This window comes from Homo sapiens, chromosome 20 (genome assembly GCF_000001405.40).
Source record: "Homo sapiens chromosome 20, GRCh38.p14 Primary Assembly".
In the NCBI taxonomy this organism is placed as follows: Eukaryota; Metazoa; Chordata; class Mammalia; order Primates; family Hominidae; genus Homo; species Homo sapiens.
The window spans coordinates 44,068,588-44,083,872 of record NC_000020.11 but is presented as its reverse complement, the minus strand read 5'-3'; the positions used below and the strand labels follow the sequence as shown (position 1 = coordinate 44,083,872).

Here is a 15,285-nt window from a genome sequence, read left to right as displayed (position 1 = left end):
ACAGTATTGTCCACACTCTCACAGGTGAGATAATTCCCTCTCCCAGATCTGAGGTGTACCATAGGGCTGTACAGCCTCACGCCTGAGCATGGAACTCTAGTCTGGCCTAGAGAGCTCCTGCCTTCTCCCTCCTACGTCCCTGGCCACCCGCAGCCTCAGGATAGCCCCGGTCACGTTCTCTTCACCTGGCACTGATGTGAGGGACCGAATGAGCATCTTGCTGAGGGTTTCTTTAGAGGGAGTTGGGATGCCTGGCCTGGCAGAAGTTCTTTTGCCTCAGAAGCCTGCAAGAGGAGCTGGGGCAGAAGGGAGACCGTGGGTCTGCAGTGCGCAGCACAGGCCCCAGAAGGCGGGCAGCCAGCCAGGTAACTTCTCAAATGTCATCCTTTGCTTCTGGTCAGCACCCAGCCTGTCCCCAGGAACAATTCTAGTCCCTGGAAGCCCAGCTCATGAGTCACATGGTATTTGTCTGGAAAGGAAGTCAGTTGGTAGGTAGTTCTGGCTCACCAGATGAGTAGTTAAAATTAATTGACCAGATCATACACCCACTTGGGGAAACAGTTTGACAGGTTTTATTTTGAAGTTAAACATATACCTACCCTGTGATCAAGCATTTAAACTCCCACGTATTTACCCAAAATAAATGAAAACATATGTGCAAAAAGACTTGTACAAGAATGTTCATAGCAGCTTTAGGCATAATTGTCAAAACCTAGAAACAACACACATGACTCTCAACAGGATAACAGAAAAACAAACTGTGCCCGATCGCTTAAAATGGAATCCTGTTCAGGGACAAAAAGGAAGAAATTAAAGACATGCAGGGAACAACATGGATGAACTTAAAAGCCATTAAGTGAAGGAAGCAGACACATAAATATGTACATACCCAGTACTTCCATTTGTATGAAATTCTAGAAGAGGCAAAACCTAGCTGTAGTGACAGAAATCAGAGCAGTGGCTGCCTAGAGCAGTGGGGGCAGGGGTTGGCTGGAAAGGGGTGTGAGAGATTTCTAGGGTGACAGGAATGTCCTGTAGCTTGACTGGGACATACACGTGTATCAAACTCATCAATCTGGCCAGGCGGGGTGGCGCACACCTGTAATCCCAGCACTTGAGAGGCTGAGGTGGGCCAATCGCCTGAGGTCAGGAGTTGAAGACCAGCCTAACCAACATGGTGAAACCCCATGTCTACTAAAAATACAAAAATTAGCCAGGTGTGGTGGTGCATGCCTGTAATCCCTGCTACTCGGGAGGCTGAGGCAGGAGAATCCCTTGACCCCAGGAGGTGGAGGTTGCAGTGAGCCAACATCACGCCACTACGTTCCAGCCTGGGCAACAGAGCAAGACGCAACCCTCCATCTCAAAAACAAGAAAACAAAACCACATCAACTGTACATCAATCTAAAATGTGGGCATTTTAGAGGCTGTAAATTATACCTCAATTTAAAATGAAAAAAAAAATTAAGATCTTTTAAAAGCAAACATTAGCCAGGTCCTAGCTTTCCCAAGCCAAATGTCTGTCCATCTGTCAGTTATGACCAGTCACACATTTGGCCAGTGACATTTGTCAGGGTGGGTCAGAGTGTCAGTTTGATAATTCATGCTCATGTGATCAATCTGACAGTAGGGTAATGGGCTGGATCTTGGTCAGCAGCAGCCTCTTGGATTTGGAGGTGGAAGGGATGGCTTCCCATTGGGTAAACATTGCACCATGGTGAAGGGTCAGGCATTGGTCTGCCTGGTTCCCACCCAGGCTCCCCCGCTGTCAAGCTCTGTGACCTTCGGCAACTCACTCACCCTTCTGAGCCTCAGTTTTCTCATCTGTGAAATGTGAACAATCATTGCATCTATCACATGGGGTTGGCGAGATGATGAAATGAGCCAATGGGTCTGCAGTGCCCAGCAGAGGCCCCAGCACACGTGCTCTGGCAGTGGGATCTGTTATTCCTGTTTTTATTTCTCCATCTGGCGGCAGGAAAGGATACAAGTGGAGGCACCTTTCCTGTGTTTCCAGGCAGATGCTGCCGCTGTTTGCTGGAAGAAGAGCTCAGGACCTGGGGAGGAGGGGCAGGGCTGAGGAGGCCTGGGTGCGGGGAGCTTCCCCAGAGGGCCGTGGGAGAGGGGACCCTGCAGTCTGAGGTCAGGCCTGGCCTCTGGTTCTCTACCTCCTGGGGACAACTCAGCCAGCTTGAAGGCAGGGTCTCCCATCACAGGCAGGCAGGAAGCCAGCTCTGTAGGCCAGCAATGGCAAGTGGGCAGAAGGCTGTGACTGGGGCAGGGGTCCCAAACGGAGGTAATGACAGCACAAAGTGTCCCCCAGTCCCCTCCTCCTGTCAGGGAGGGGAGCAGCTGATAAACTCATGCTCATGTGGGTATTTGGAACTAATACAGTCACCCTTCTGGGGGAACTTCCGGTTTAAAAGAGAAGTCTGGATAGAGCAATGCATAACTCAAAGGAATATTTTGCTCCAGTGAATTTCAGGTGATACAGCAGATCTATTTTTCTGGTCAGGGGCTCCGGTCCAGAGTAACCCCTTCTCATTGCCACCCAATAAAAGAAAAAATAAGTAACAACTGGGGACCCACCTGTTTCACCTTCTCACAAGAGAGAAGGATGTTGGCAGTGTGGTGCTGCGGTGTTCTGAGTTCTGACATCATGCCAGGATCATCCTAGGATCGTAGCACTTAGTATGCAGTAAAGCCCTTAAAAGTGATATCATATTGTCTTGTTAAGTTGTCAGAGCCACTCCGTGGGGTTGTAGGTGTAGGGCAGTTGAATATGGAGGCTAAGCATGGAGGTGAATGACCTGTGTCACCTACTCGCAGATGGCAGAACTGGAGTCAAACCCATTGTCTGACCGTAAATTAGCCCTCTTGGCTCCTAATCATTCTGTTAGGCCTGCTACACTGCTCTGCAGTTCCTAATTATGACCACCAGGAGGCACCACCACTCCACACGTGAGTACTCTCCGCACTGTTCCTGAGAAGTGAAGGCTTAGAATCACGTCACTACTTTCTTATTTACCACAGTAATATTAATAGCTACTATTAACTTAGCACTTGCTATGTGTCAGGACTGCACTAAGCACTACATGCTTTATTTCATATATTTCTCACACATCTCTAACATTTGGACCAGACTGTTTCACAGAAACAGTGAAATTCAAAATCAGGTCTGTGTCTTCAAAGCCTGTCCTCTTAACCATATATCCTCAGTGGAGATCACCAACTAGATGCTTGGAGGCTGCATTTGGTCAGCAAACTTGGTTTTGTTGGTTGGTTTGTGTTTGGTTGGTTTTTTTTTGTTTTGTTTTGTTTTTTGGCTGGGATGGTGTTCCAACACGCATTGAATTTAAATGCTTTTTGGCAGGGCAGTCCCTCTCCACTTAGCCCCAGTCCTCATCACTCTCTCTCATATGTCCGTCCCTCTGTCTCCTTCCTTTGCTTATGTTATCTGCCTGACCCTGACGTCACTGGAATTTGCAGCTTGTGGTTGTGAGTTCGTCGACTCCCTTTATACTAATAATATATTGTAGATGGGAGTCAAGGGATTCCAGGGCAGCTTGGAGGTTTAGGAAGGCACCCAGGAAATGTAACAAATGGTGTGGCCAAGAGTCACTGTGGAGATGCGGGAGGCAGTCCTGTCCTTCAGTGTCCTCCCAGGACCTATCAGTAAGTGTCCCTTGTGCTGTGTCAGCATAGCGTGCATGGCACCTGCAAAGACCTGTGGATTTCCTGGGCTGGACGGTGGTGAGCTGGAGGTGGAGCATGCCGCGTTTCGACTTTGCAATACCCTCCCAGAAGAGTGACCTGGCTACTGTGCACTCACACAGAATCCTTCCTGATTTGCGTCTGTTTCCTTTCACCTGGCCCATGAACCAGTGGTTAGATTTAACCAGCACCGTGGGGTTTCTAATCATTATTGAGCACCCCATCTACAGGGACTGAACTGTGTTCCCCCAAACTCACATGTTGAAGTTCGAACCCCCGGTGCCTCAGAATATGACTGTATTTGGAGACGGGGCCTTTAAAGAGGTGATTACGTTAAAAATGAGGCCATTAGGATGGGCCCTAATTCAACCTACCAGGTGTTCTCAAAGAAGACGAGACTCAGACATGCAGAGAGACCCCAGAGGTGGACAGGCGCAGAGGGATGGCCATGTGAGGACACAGAAGGTGGTCATCTAGAGAGGCCTCAGAAGAAACAAAGCCTGCTAGCACCTTGACCTTTGACTCCCAGTCTCCAGAACAGTGAGAAAATTAATTTCTGTTGTTTAAACCATTTCTGTTGTTATGGCAGCCCAGGCTGACTAATATGCTGTCCATCAAAGGTGGGCGGAGTTGAGGATGTAAGTGTGGTCAACAGCCGGCCTCGCAGGGCACTGTAGCTCATGCATGTGATCCCAGCACTTTGGGAGGCCGAGACGGGAGGATCGCTTGAGCTCAGGAGTTCAAGACCAGCCTGGCCAACATAGTGAGACCCTGTCTCTACAAAAATTAGCCAGGTGTGGTGATACGTGTCTGTAGTCTCCGCTACTCGGGAGGCTTAGGTGTGGAGATCGCTGGAGCCCAGGAGGTTGCAGCTGCAGTGAGCTGAGATGGCGTCACTGCACTCCAGCCTGGGTAACAGAGTAAGACCCTGTCTCAAAAAAAAAAAAATAAAAATAAAAAGCCAGCCTGACAGGGGAGGAGGAAGGAGCTTGGAGACCACCCTCCTACTCCCCACTCCCCTGTGGAAGACACGTGTGTGGAGGAATTAATGAATGTGCTTCGTTTGTTACACTCTTACTATTAGTGATGAAAACCACTTCTTCATAGATGAGAGCATAAAGAAGCCAAATTCTTGGTTTCTAAATTCAAAAAGATGGTCTAGGAGTAAGAGGAAGCTGGAAGGGGAGATGCAGTCTGGCTCTCTTCAGATTGGAAGGGTCCACCTACCACCCGCAAAGCCAGGGAAGACCCACCTAAATCCCTGTGAGATTTCAAGACATGGTGGATGAAGAGAAAATCTAAAAGTTACCAGAGAAGGGGGCAAAAAGTAAGCAGTATACAAAGAAATGGGAGGCAGAATAATATTCAACGCTCAACAGCAGCAAGGCTGGAAATGAGAAGTCAATGAAGCCGTGCCTTCAAAATTCAGAGAGAAAGTTATTTTCAGCCTAGATGTCTTTACCCAGCCAAACCACCAATCAAGTGTGAGGGTAAGATGAAAACATTTGCAGAACTGCACCTTTATTTCTCATCCATCCTTTCTTAGAAAGGGCCTGGAAGATGTGTTCCACCACAATGAAGAAGCAAGATAGGAAGGAGGAATGGATGGAATCCTGCAAAGAGAGGACCCATGATAGAGAAAAGCAAGGGGATTTGCTAAGTAATAAAAGGAAGCATCTGATGATGGCTGGAATCTGCCTGAGAAAGAGATCAAATTGGAGCACAAAGTGTCTGGCCATAATCAGAAGGGGTTTACAGCTCTGAGCTTTGGGGGAAAATGAGTGACAGGGAGGAAAATTAAGCACACGAAAAACAAAAATGAAAAATTATTCAAGGAAAAAAATATGTAGCTTGACCCATCAGCAAACATGAGTTACAGAATAGGAATAATGTAAGCCTGGAATATTGATTAACCACCATGATTATGTAGTTCACTGGGAGGACACAGGGGGAAGCAAGATGGAGGAGGAGCACTAAATCCTCTTTTTCCATGAAAAGAAGTGACTAAAAGGCATTTAAAAATCGGCTAGGCTCACGCCTGTAGTCCTAGCACTTTGGGAGGCCGAGGTGGGCGGATCACAAGGTCAGGAGATTGAGACCATCCTGGCTAAAGCTGTGAAACCCGTCTCTACTAAAAATACTAAAAATTAGCCAGCCGTGGTGGCGCATGCCTGTAGTCCCAGCTACTTGGGAGGCTGAGGCAGGAGAATTGCTTGAACCCGGGAGGCGGAGGTTGCAGTGAGCCAAGATTGCACCATTGCACTCCAGCCTGGGTGACAGAGTGAGACTCCATCTCAGAAAAAAGAAAAAAAATCTATAAATCAAGAAATAGCAGTGTGTGCATATTCAGTTGTTAAATAACAAAAAGAGTTGAGAATATTTATCCCTAGGTGGTGAGAATCAGAGATTGAAGGAGGGAAGAGCAGAGGACACCCTGACATCATTATAAGCTTCATGGTCTGGTTTGACTTTTGTTTTTTGTTTTTGTTTGAGACGGAGTTTTGCTCTGTCCCCCAGGCTGGAATGCAGTGGTGCAATCTCGGCTCACTGCAAGCTCCACCTCCCGGGTTCACGCTATTCTTCTGCCTCAGCCTCCCGAGTAGCTGAGACTATACAGGTACCTGCCACCACACCAGGTTAATTTTTTGTATTTTTTTTTTTTTAGTAGAGACGGGATTTCACCGCATTAGCCAGGATGGTCTCGATCTCCTGACCTCGTGATCTGCCCACCTTGGCCTCCCAAAGTGTTGGGATTACAGGCATGAGCCACCATGCCCGGCCTGGTTTGACTTTTTAAGGCAGGGATATGTGGTCAGTCTTCCATATCCGTGGGTTCTGCATGATGGATTCAACCTACCACAGATCAAACATATATTTTTTAAAAGTACAACAGTAAAAATTAATACAAATAAAGCCAAAACAGTATAACAACTATTTACATAGCAGTTATATTGGATTAGATGTTATCAGTAATCTAGAGATGATTTCAAGTACACAGGAAGATATGCATAGGTTATTTGCAAATTCTATGCCATTTTGTATAGGAGACTTGAGCATCTGTGGATTTTGGTATCTGTAGAAGGTCCTGGAACCAATCCCCTGTAGATACCAAGGATTGATTATATTATTAAAGTGGTTTTTTTTTTCTTTTTTTTTTTTTTTTGAAATGGAGTTACACTCTTCTTGCCCAGGCTGGAGTGCAACAGTGAGATCTTGGCTCACTGCAACCTCCGCCTCCTGGGTTCAAGCGACTCTCCTGCCTCAACCTCCCGAGTAGCTGGGATTACAGGCATGCACCACCATTCCGGCTAATTTTGTATTTTTAGTAGAGACAGGGTTTCTTCATGTTGGTCAGGCTGGTCTTGAACTCCCGACCTCAGGTGATCGGCCCGCCTTGGCCTCCCAAAGTGCTGGGATTACAGGCATGAGCCACTGCACCTGGCCGCAATTATATTATTAAAGTTTTAAAGTTGAAGTCAAGGACGTTGAAAATTAGCACCCTTACACCCACGTAGATGTTACTTGCTATTTTAAAACTGTGTGAAAGGCCTGTGCAGGGCACCACCAGCGCAATTTTTACACTGCCAGGTCCAAGTCCCCTTTTCTTGTCCCCCTAGGGCCCTTTCTAATGCTCAGGGCATCTTAGCTCAGGCTGCCCTAACAAAACATTACAGACTGGGTGGCTCAAGCAACAGAAATTTGTTTTCTCGCAGTTCTGGAGGCTGGAAAGTCCATGATCAAGGCACCCGCATGGCTGGTTTCTGGTGAGAGCCCTTCCTGGCTTGACGATGGCTGCCTTCTCTCTGTGTCCTCACCTGGTAGGTGGCGGGGGGGGGGGGGGTGTCTGGTGTCTCCTCTTGGGACACTGATCCCATCATGAGGACTCTACCCTCGTGACCTCTTCTCAACCTGTCACCTACCAAAGGCCCCATCTCCAGATACCATCGCCTTGAAGGTCAGTGCTTCAACATACAAATTTTGGGGAGACACAGTACAGTCCACGGCATAAGGCAACAGTGAAATCACAGCTGGCTCCTCTGTTGATTGGAACTTCTTCAAAGTGGTTTCTTTAAACTGCTTTGCACTTGCACTTCAGAAAGCTCATTTCTGTCCTCTGATTCCCTTCCTATGCCTCAAAGTCAGCCTCGGTCTTGGGTACAGGGGGCACAACAGTCACGTGGCAAATGCATAGTGGCGTAGGCCCCAGGGCTGAGGCTCTGACTTGAGGACTGCGGCTCCTCAGCCAGCGCTCTCGCTCATGGCGCCCGTGAGTACATATCCAGTTTCCAGTGGCATTCTGCATCGTGGCAATTGGGATTCCTGTCCTTCACTGTCACCACCCTTGTCTAACGTCGCCACCTCCTCTCCCCTGGATGACTGTGCAGCCTCCTGACAAATCTTCCCACGTCCACTCCTCCACCCCTGCCATCCCCTTCCCTCTCAACCGCCAGAGGGGTCCTGTAAAACTGCCATTTGGGCCATGCCTCTCCTAAACTTAGATGACTTCCCGTTGTTCTTACAACACAGTCTAAACTCCTCTTGCGGCCTGGCCAGGCTCCTGCCGGCTTCTCAAAATCATGCCATTTTCCCCTTTGGCCATTTCCGCAGGCAACACTGGTTTCCTTGTTATTTCAGAGCAAGCCAGCGTCTTCCCACCCCAGACGTCTGTGTGCCCGTTCTTCTGCCAGGAACTCCGTTCTGATACTGTCCTTACCTGTTCTTTGCTTCCTTCAGGTCTCCGCTCAACAGCCAGCTCCATTCCCTCTCTGAGGTGCCGCACGCTACCTGTCCCTGTTCCCTCTCTGAGATGCCACACACTACCTGTCCGCTGTCCCCCGTCATGTCACCCTATCCTATCTTGTCACCATCTCACACTTCCTGTTTATTCATTAGCATATTTGTGTAAGAAAATGTTGACTGGAATCTTTCCTGTTGCCCAGGAGGGTGACCAGGGATCCCCATGGAGGAGAAAGAGAGGGTGTAAGCGTGGCAGGGGTTGATTCGCAGTGGGGCCACACATCACCTCCCTGCCCCTGGCCCCTCACACTCATCCCTGGAGCTCATGAGAAGGATGGACAGCAGCTCCTCCCTGGTCAGCACCCCGTGTGCGTCCACACCTCTGACCCCTGCAAGAAAATGACTGCAGGCTGGGTCGGGCCTCCAGGGTACTTCCTCAAAAGGCCTTTCTTCCCCACCTTCTCCCCATCTAAGACAGGCCTCCTTTTATTCTTGCTCATAGCAGCGATTTTTGACCCTTCTCAGCAGCCTCACAATCGGAAGTCTTCTCTGCGCCTGCGCGTGTCCTTGTTTAGGGCTTATTTCTCCTGCTATCCTGAAGTCCAGAAGGCTGGAGACCTGCCTGGTCTGTGTCACTTGTCACTTTGCCACAGCAGCTGGCACTTAATAGGAGTCCATTAAATGCTTGCTGAATGAATGCCAACTGTCCTGTTTTTGTACTTAATAGAAACCTCTGGAAGGCAGCCTTCCTCCACTTGGAAGCAGAGCTCTAAGGCAGAAGGTCAAACACAGGCAAGGCCAGGCTGGCAGAGAGATGGGCAGGTGGGTGGCGGGTGGCTGCACCTTCTGTTAGCAGTAGCAAGATTGGGGAGGAGAGAAGCAAAGCTTGCGCCCTGCAGGCAGAGTGAAACGGGGACCAGAGAGATTAAGGGTGACACTGCTCTCTTCACTCTCAGGCCCAGGTTCTTAAAAAACACACATAATAAAACATGAGAATGTGAGTCGTTATGAGTCAGACCTCTACAAATATGCCATCATTTTCAATCCCAACAAGTGTCCTCTGGGAATGGTAATAGTATTCCCATTTTTCAGATAAGGAAAGCAAGACCTAGAGAAAGATAAGCAAACAACATTTATTATATCAAATTGTCCCAGGCAATTCACACATACTGTCTCATTTAATCAGTAGGCTGAGCCATAGCTATTACCATAAGGTTTTGCATATGAGGAAACCAGATCTCCAAGTGGAAAGTCTTCCAATGTCATCATCTTTGTCCTTCATTCAAAGGACAATGACAGGTCATCTGGTCCACTTTGCCAGGATACGGCCATTTTGCAGAAATAAATGTGTCTCGTAACTCATGCATGTCCCCCTATACATGTTGAAACCTAAGAAAAAATTACAAGCATGTTAGATGATGCCTGCAGGGACAGCCGGTGTGCACAGGACTGTTTGATCCTGCACCAAATGTCCCCAGACCGCTAAGTTTGAGTTCTTATATCTCCTTCCCTTGCCCAGCATTGCTTCTCATGGCTTTTGGTGTGCCCGCCTCTAGCAGACAGTTTTTTGCTGACTTCCTTCATATGCTAAAGGCTGGAAGATAAAGTTGCTGGGGTTGTGTGTAAAGTGATGATCTGGGTGCTTTTTGCAAGTCAAACCCGCAGGGCTTTAGTGCCTGAGCTCTCTTCCCTCCTGGAGTTTTGCTTCCTACGTGCAAGTAGAGGAAATTTGGAAAAGGAGAGATGTGGGGTCTGAGGTCATTTTAATTCTTGGCTTCATGCAAATTATGTGACCTCCAGCAAGTACCTTGGCCTCTCTGGGCAACATGTTCCTCCCCTGAAAATGTGTTGTGATATTCGGCGAAAGCATCACTGTGAGTTCCATGAACTTGCATTTTTCCCCCAGGGCACGTTTCCTCTAGGACAGTGGTCCCCAACTTTTTTGGCACCAGTGACCAGTTTCATGGAAGACAACTTTCCCATGGCTGGCAGGCGGCGGGGAGATGGTTTTGGGATGAAACTGTTGCACCTCAGGTCATCAGGCATTAGTTAGAGTCTTATAAGGAGCGTGTAACCTACTTACAAGGAGCATGTAACTCGCATGCGCAGTTCACAATAGGGTTCACGCTCCTGTGAGAATCCAATACTGCTGTTGATCTGACAGGAGGTGGGGCTCAGGCGGTAATGCTTGCTCGCCCACCGCTCACCTCCTGCTGTGTGGCCCGGTTCCTGACAGGCCACAGACTGGCCCAGGGGTTGGGGACCCCTTCTCTGGGATGATTCCATTTCCCATCCCTGCTGACTAGCTGTGGCCATCAGGAAACGGGAAGCAGTGACAGGCACCACTTCGTTTCCTGCTTCTGCAGGATCCCCGGCTCACTCACCACTGGCTGGCTATAGAGGACTCAGGGAGGGCTCCGAGGGTGAAGGGGGTGGCAGAGCCACCACAGAGAAGAACCTTGGATCCCCAAATGTTCTTGGTGGCTTGGAGGAGGCTTGGAGGGATCAACTCTGTTGGGTTAAGCTGCTGAGATGGGAGTTGTTTCTGCAGCGTAGCCTAGCACATCCTGAATAGTACACGATGCAAGAAACTTGACCTGGTGCAGAGATTAAGTATTATTATATAATAATGAGAAATAATACTATTTTAAGGACTTACCTATATTAACTCATTGTTACTAGAACAGCCCTTTGAAGAGGAGACTATTATCTCCAAGTTAGACATGAAGAAACAGAAGTTAAGAAACTTGCCTGAGCTCATACAACTTGTAGGCAGCCAAGCGAATATTCTCCCAGGCAGGCTGTGACCCAGCCCTCCCTCCTAACCACCACCCCGACACTGCCTCTCACTCTGACTGACTACCCTTCAGCGTTTGGTGGGCTTGAGGTTATTCGTTTTGGGTAATTTGGGAAGCAGAGCTGGTTAATAACTGATGGGTTGAACAATTTTTTTTAAACTCCTGAATCTATAACAGCACATCAGATCTTTTTCGCATGGGAGTTACTTCAAACTTTCAAGAACAGATAATTCCACGCTAACTGATGTATGTATACGTATGTGCTGTGTGGCAGAGAAGAGCTGCTCTGTTGTTTGTATTCTTGCTGAATGAACGTATCGAATTTTAGCATCGCGGACTCTGAAAATTAATCAAAAAATTAATCTGTGCCATGTTGCCCACATTCCAATCCAGTGTAAAAATTTCTGTGTATCCCTCCAAGGAGGAATGACTACTGGGCAATTTTGGGACCAGCCATGACTGCCTTCTGGGGTTGGGGGAGGGGGCGTGGTCTCAGCCTCGGCCCAGGTCCTGCCTCCTGTTTGGACCGAGATGAGTTTGTTGGGGGAGGTGTGAGATGGAGAAACCTGAGGAAGGCGCTTGGCCCTGGGAAGGGTGAGTGGGGTTGCTCCCTGGGCCAGCTCTGTGGGCAGTGGGGGCAGGCTGCAGGTAGGAGTTAAAGGTGTTCACACTGTTGGGGACACTGCTCTAGGGTCTGGCAATAACTTGAAGCCTCAAGGTGTGAGGGGCCCCGACCGTAGACTGGCCCCGGCAGGTGGAGGATGCTGCAGGGAGAACCTGGCCCACGACAAGGCTGGGGCACCCAGGGCTGGCAGCTTTGGGAGCACAGGGATGGGGAGTGAGAGAGCCCATGGCAGAGACCCCAGTGCTTTCACAGCCGGTGTGACCCTGGGTTCTTGGAGGCGCTGTGGGTCGTGGCCACCATCATTGCAGGATGGAATAGAAAACATGCAGCAGACACTGCCTCCCAAGAAGGAGGAAGGCCCTGGAGTGGGGCTTGGGTGGTGGTTTCGGGGCTGAAATTCTTGTAGTTGCAGGTAAGACCAGAGCCAGAGACATTTGGAGCAATACCGATGTGGCCCCACTTGGGCCATGGGCATAGTCAGTATGGTAGGCTGTTGCCTTAGAAACATACGGGCCTGAGATGGGGATTCTGGTTCAAGCGATTTACTGAGTGGGTGCTCCCAGGAGGGAGTCACATCCTCAGAGCAGGGCGGGGTGGGGGGAGGGAGCTTAGCAAGGATGGTGTTGCCGCTGGAGGCAGCTTCAGGCTGCTCCCATGGACTCGGGTTGTGAATGGGACCAGAGAGTTGGCGTCTCCATTATTTGGTCATTAGCTGTGGCAGCTCTGGGGGGCAATGACTGGGATGGCACTCAGGACCTGGGGATGGGCTCTGGCAACAGAAGAGGACAGGCGAGAGGGGGACACCAGTGCCAACTACTGCAGTCGGCACTACAGACTGAATGGTTGTGTCCTCCCGGAATTTGATTATTGGAATCCTAACCCTCAACGGGCCAGTATTTGGAGGCGGGGCCTTTGGAAGGTGACTGAGCGGAGCCCTCAGGATTGGGGTGAGTGCTGTTGAATTCTGGAGAGCACCCTCCCCTCCTGCCCTGTCGGACACAGCGAGAGGATGGACGTTTACGAACCAGCAAGTGAACCCTCACCTGACACTGAAGCTGCCAGCGCCTTGATCTTAGACCTCCCAGCCTCCACAACTGAGCAGTAAGTTTGTGTTGCTGTGAGCCACCTGGCCCATGGCACTCTGTTATGGCAGCTGGGATGGACTAAGACAGTCGCTGTCCACTCCATGGCCCTGAAATTGGCCTTTAGGCTCTATTCTCACTCTCTGGGCCCCAGAACACACCCGTGCGACAGTCCCTGATACCTGCAGGCAGGGCGCTTAGGTTCTGCTTGGGGCCTCTGAGTGTCCCGTGCAGCCTAGAGGGGGTGGTCTTGGCGTGTGGATGCTTGGAAAGGACTCCTGAGCTCCTGGTGCAGCTGTGAGGGGTGGCAGCAGGCCTCCGCCTCAGCACCACTGTACAAGGAGGGCCTTGTACTCTTGTCATTGTGGGCTGTCTGCGTGGATCCCAGTGATGCTGTTTTCACAAACATGGAAGCAAGAGTTGAATATTAAACTGTCTAAGCCGTCGTGTTACTGACAAGCCCCACATAGAAAAGGAAATTGTAACCACATGAAATATTTATGCTGCACATTGCGGTGCTGCTGCTGACGGGACGGCAGGTGGCTGGTTTGGGGTTATTTTATTTTTCTAAAGTGGATTACAAAATGCCCTCCAGTGGGGAAACTGCACCCCACTCCTGGGCTGTCATCTGGAAGGAGGGGGTTTACCGTGATTGGAGAGTGAGAGGCTGGGAGAGCTGTCCTGAGTGTGGGGGCTCCTCTGTCTCGGTCCCGAGCCTGGCTGGGAGCGGGGGCACCTGTCCCCACCTCAAAATGGCTGCATCACAGGGTGCAAGAGTTGCAGCCTCCCACCAGGCAATTGGTATTTTTCCAGATGTAGTTAAAACAGTCAACTATTATTTGCCTTTTGTTGTTGTTTGCTGTCGTTGTTAGTATCACCATCTAACATCTGCTGGGAAATCTGGTTTAAAGAATTCCCTGTCTGGGATGCTTCCTACACTCAGGTTTGAAAAACCCCTTGGCCTCCTCCCTGGATTCCCACTGCTCACCTCCACAAGCCTGGGTGGCCCCATCCTCCAGAGGAAGGGCTCGCCACTGTCACCAGCTGATGCAAGTTCCTGTGTGGCGGCGTTCTTGCCCACACCCCTTCTCATCGTCGCAAGAGCCCTACGGGTCTGACCACTGTTACCCCCTTAGAGGGCAAGACTGAGGTCAGAGTGGTCCCATCACCCACACACAAACCCACATGGGCTGGTAAAGGTCAGGCAAGACTTTGACCCGTGTCCGTCTGGCCCGAGGGGCTCTATGCCACTTTAGGGGGTTCAACCCTGGCTCACCAAGGGCAAGGAGACACAGACTTGTTTTCAGCTTTTCAGAAGTTTTATTATAAAGAGATTTGAGAGAAGCACTGGGCACCAAGACAGACACTCGCCAGGGCCAGGAAACAGCTGCAAACGACGTCAAGAACCCAAACCCAAACGAAACCCCAAAACCACACACACGGTAGGATAAGCTGTAACTTCGTTCTCAAGGTTTCTTCATAAATAGACAAAAGTCGTCGCCGGCAATTTAAAATAGATGAATACATGATTAAAAGGAGAGCAGTGCTCCGGGGTGGCTAGCAAGCGTCCGGTCCTTGCTGTGAGGATGACGAAACGGTTTGGCAGCCGCTTTTGTGCGCGTCTCCCTTAAGATAAAACTTAAAAATGTGCTAAGGATCATATAAAATGCTTTTTACCTTAAAGGAAACTACTTTTTTCCCCCACAAAATAGTCTTACAGATGTCTTCAGCACAGTTCTAAAACACGTAGTCAACTACTTACACGGAACCAACAGTTTCTAGGTTTCGTAATCTTTTGTTCACACTGGAAAACCGATGTGCACATCTATGCCGGGGGCCGGCCCTCTGGCCCATGCATCTGGGGTGGGTGTCCGTTGGTAAGCGACCCCGCCAGGGGCGGCCCACCTGGGCTGGGGCTGGAGCTGGGGCCGGGTGTCCAGACATAGGGTACCGTGCGCAGGGCGAGGACAGGGTCCACAGTTACCCTGGAGCAAGCAGGTCAGCGGGCGGAAGGTTCCTGCAGGTTCTTTGGGCTGGTGGTGGGCAGTGGGCTGCCTCTGCAGAGTCTGGTGGGAGGTTGAGGAAGAGACTCAGCCCCCGGGCAATGGGTGTGTCACTGCTCTCTCCGATGGGCCACCCTGCCTCTGGCCAGGGCCTCTTTTCTGCTGTCAGCCCTTCAGGCTCTGAGCAGTGCCTTCCAGCGAGCCTCAGGGATGGTAGGGAGGCGGGATTAGGTGAGGTAGAGCGATTTGTCCCTGGGGAGCAGGCTGTGAGAGAGAGGAGGGGCTGTCAAAGCTGTTGGGTACCTCTCCGGGCCAGGGGAGCACCA

At 50.0% G+C, this 15,285-nt stretch overlaps 1 protein-coding gene across 10 annotated transcripts in view; it reads right to left on the bottom strand.

Annotated features, from left to right (window-relative positions):
* Positions 1-14,256: 14,256 nt before the first annotated feature.
* The window catches only part of TOX2 (TOX high mobility group box family member 2), a 154,765-nt gene continuing 153,736 nt past the window's right edge, over positions 14,257-15,285 (bottom strand). For all 10 annotated transcript variants that reach the window (XM_047440561.1, NM_001098797.2, XM_047440565.1 and 7 more), the window contains one exon: positions 14,257-15,223. In XM_047440561.1, coding sequence (XP_047296517.1) covers positions 15,187-15,223 — 37 coding nt within the window. In that variant the 3' untranslated portion in view covers positions 14,257-15,186. The remainder of the gene's footprint in view (positions 15,224-15,285) is intronic.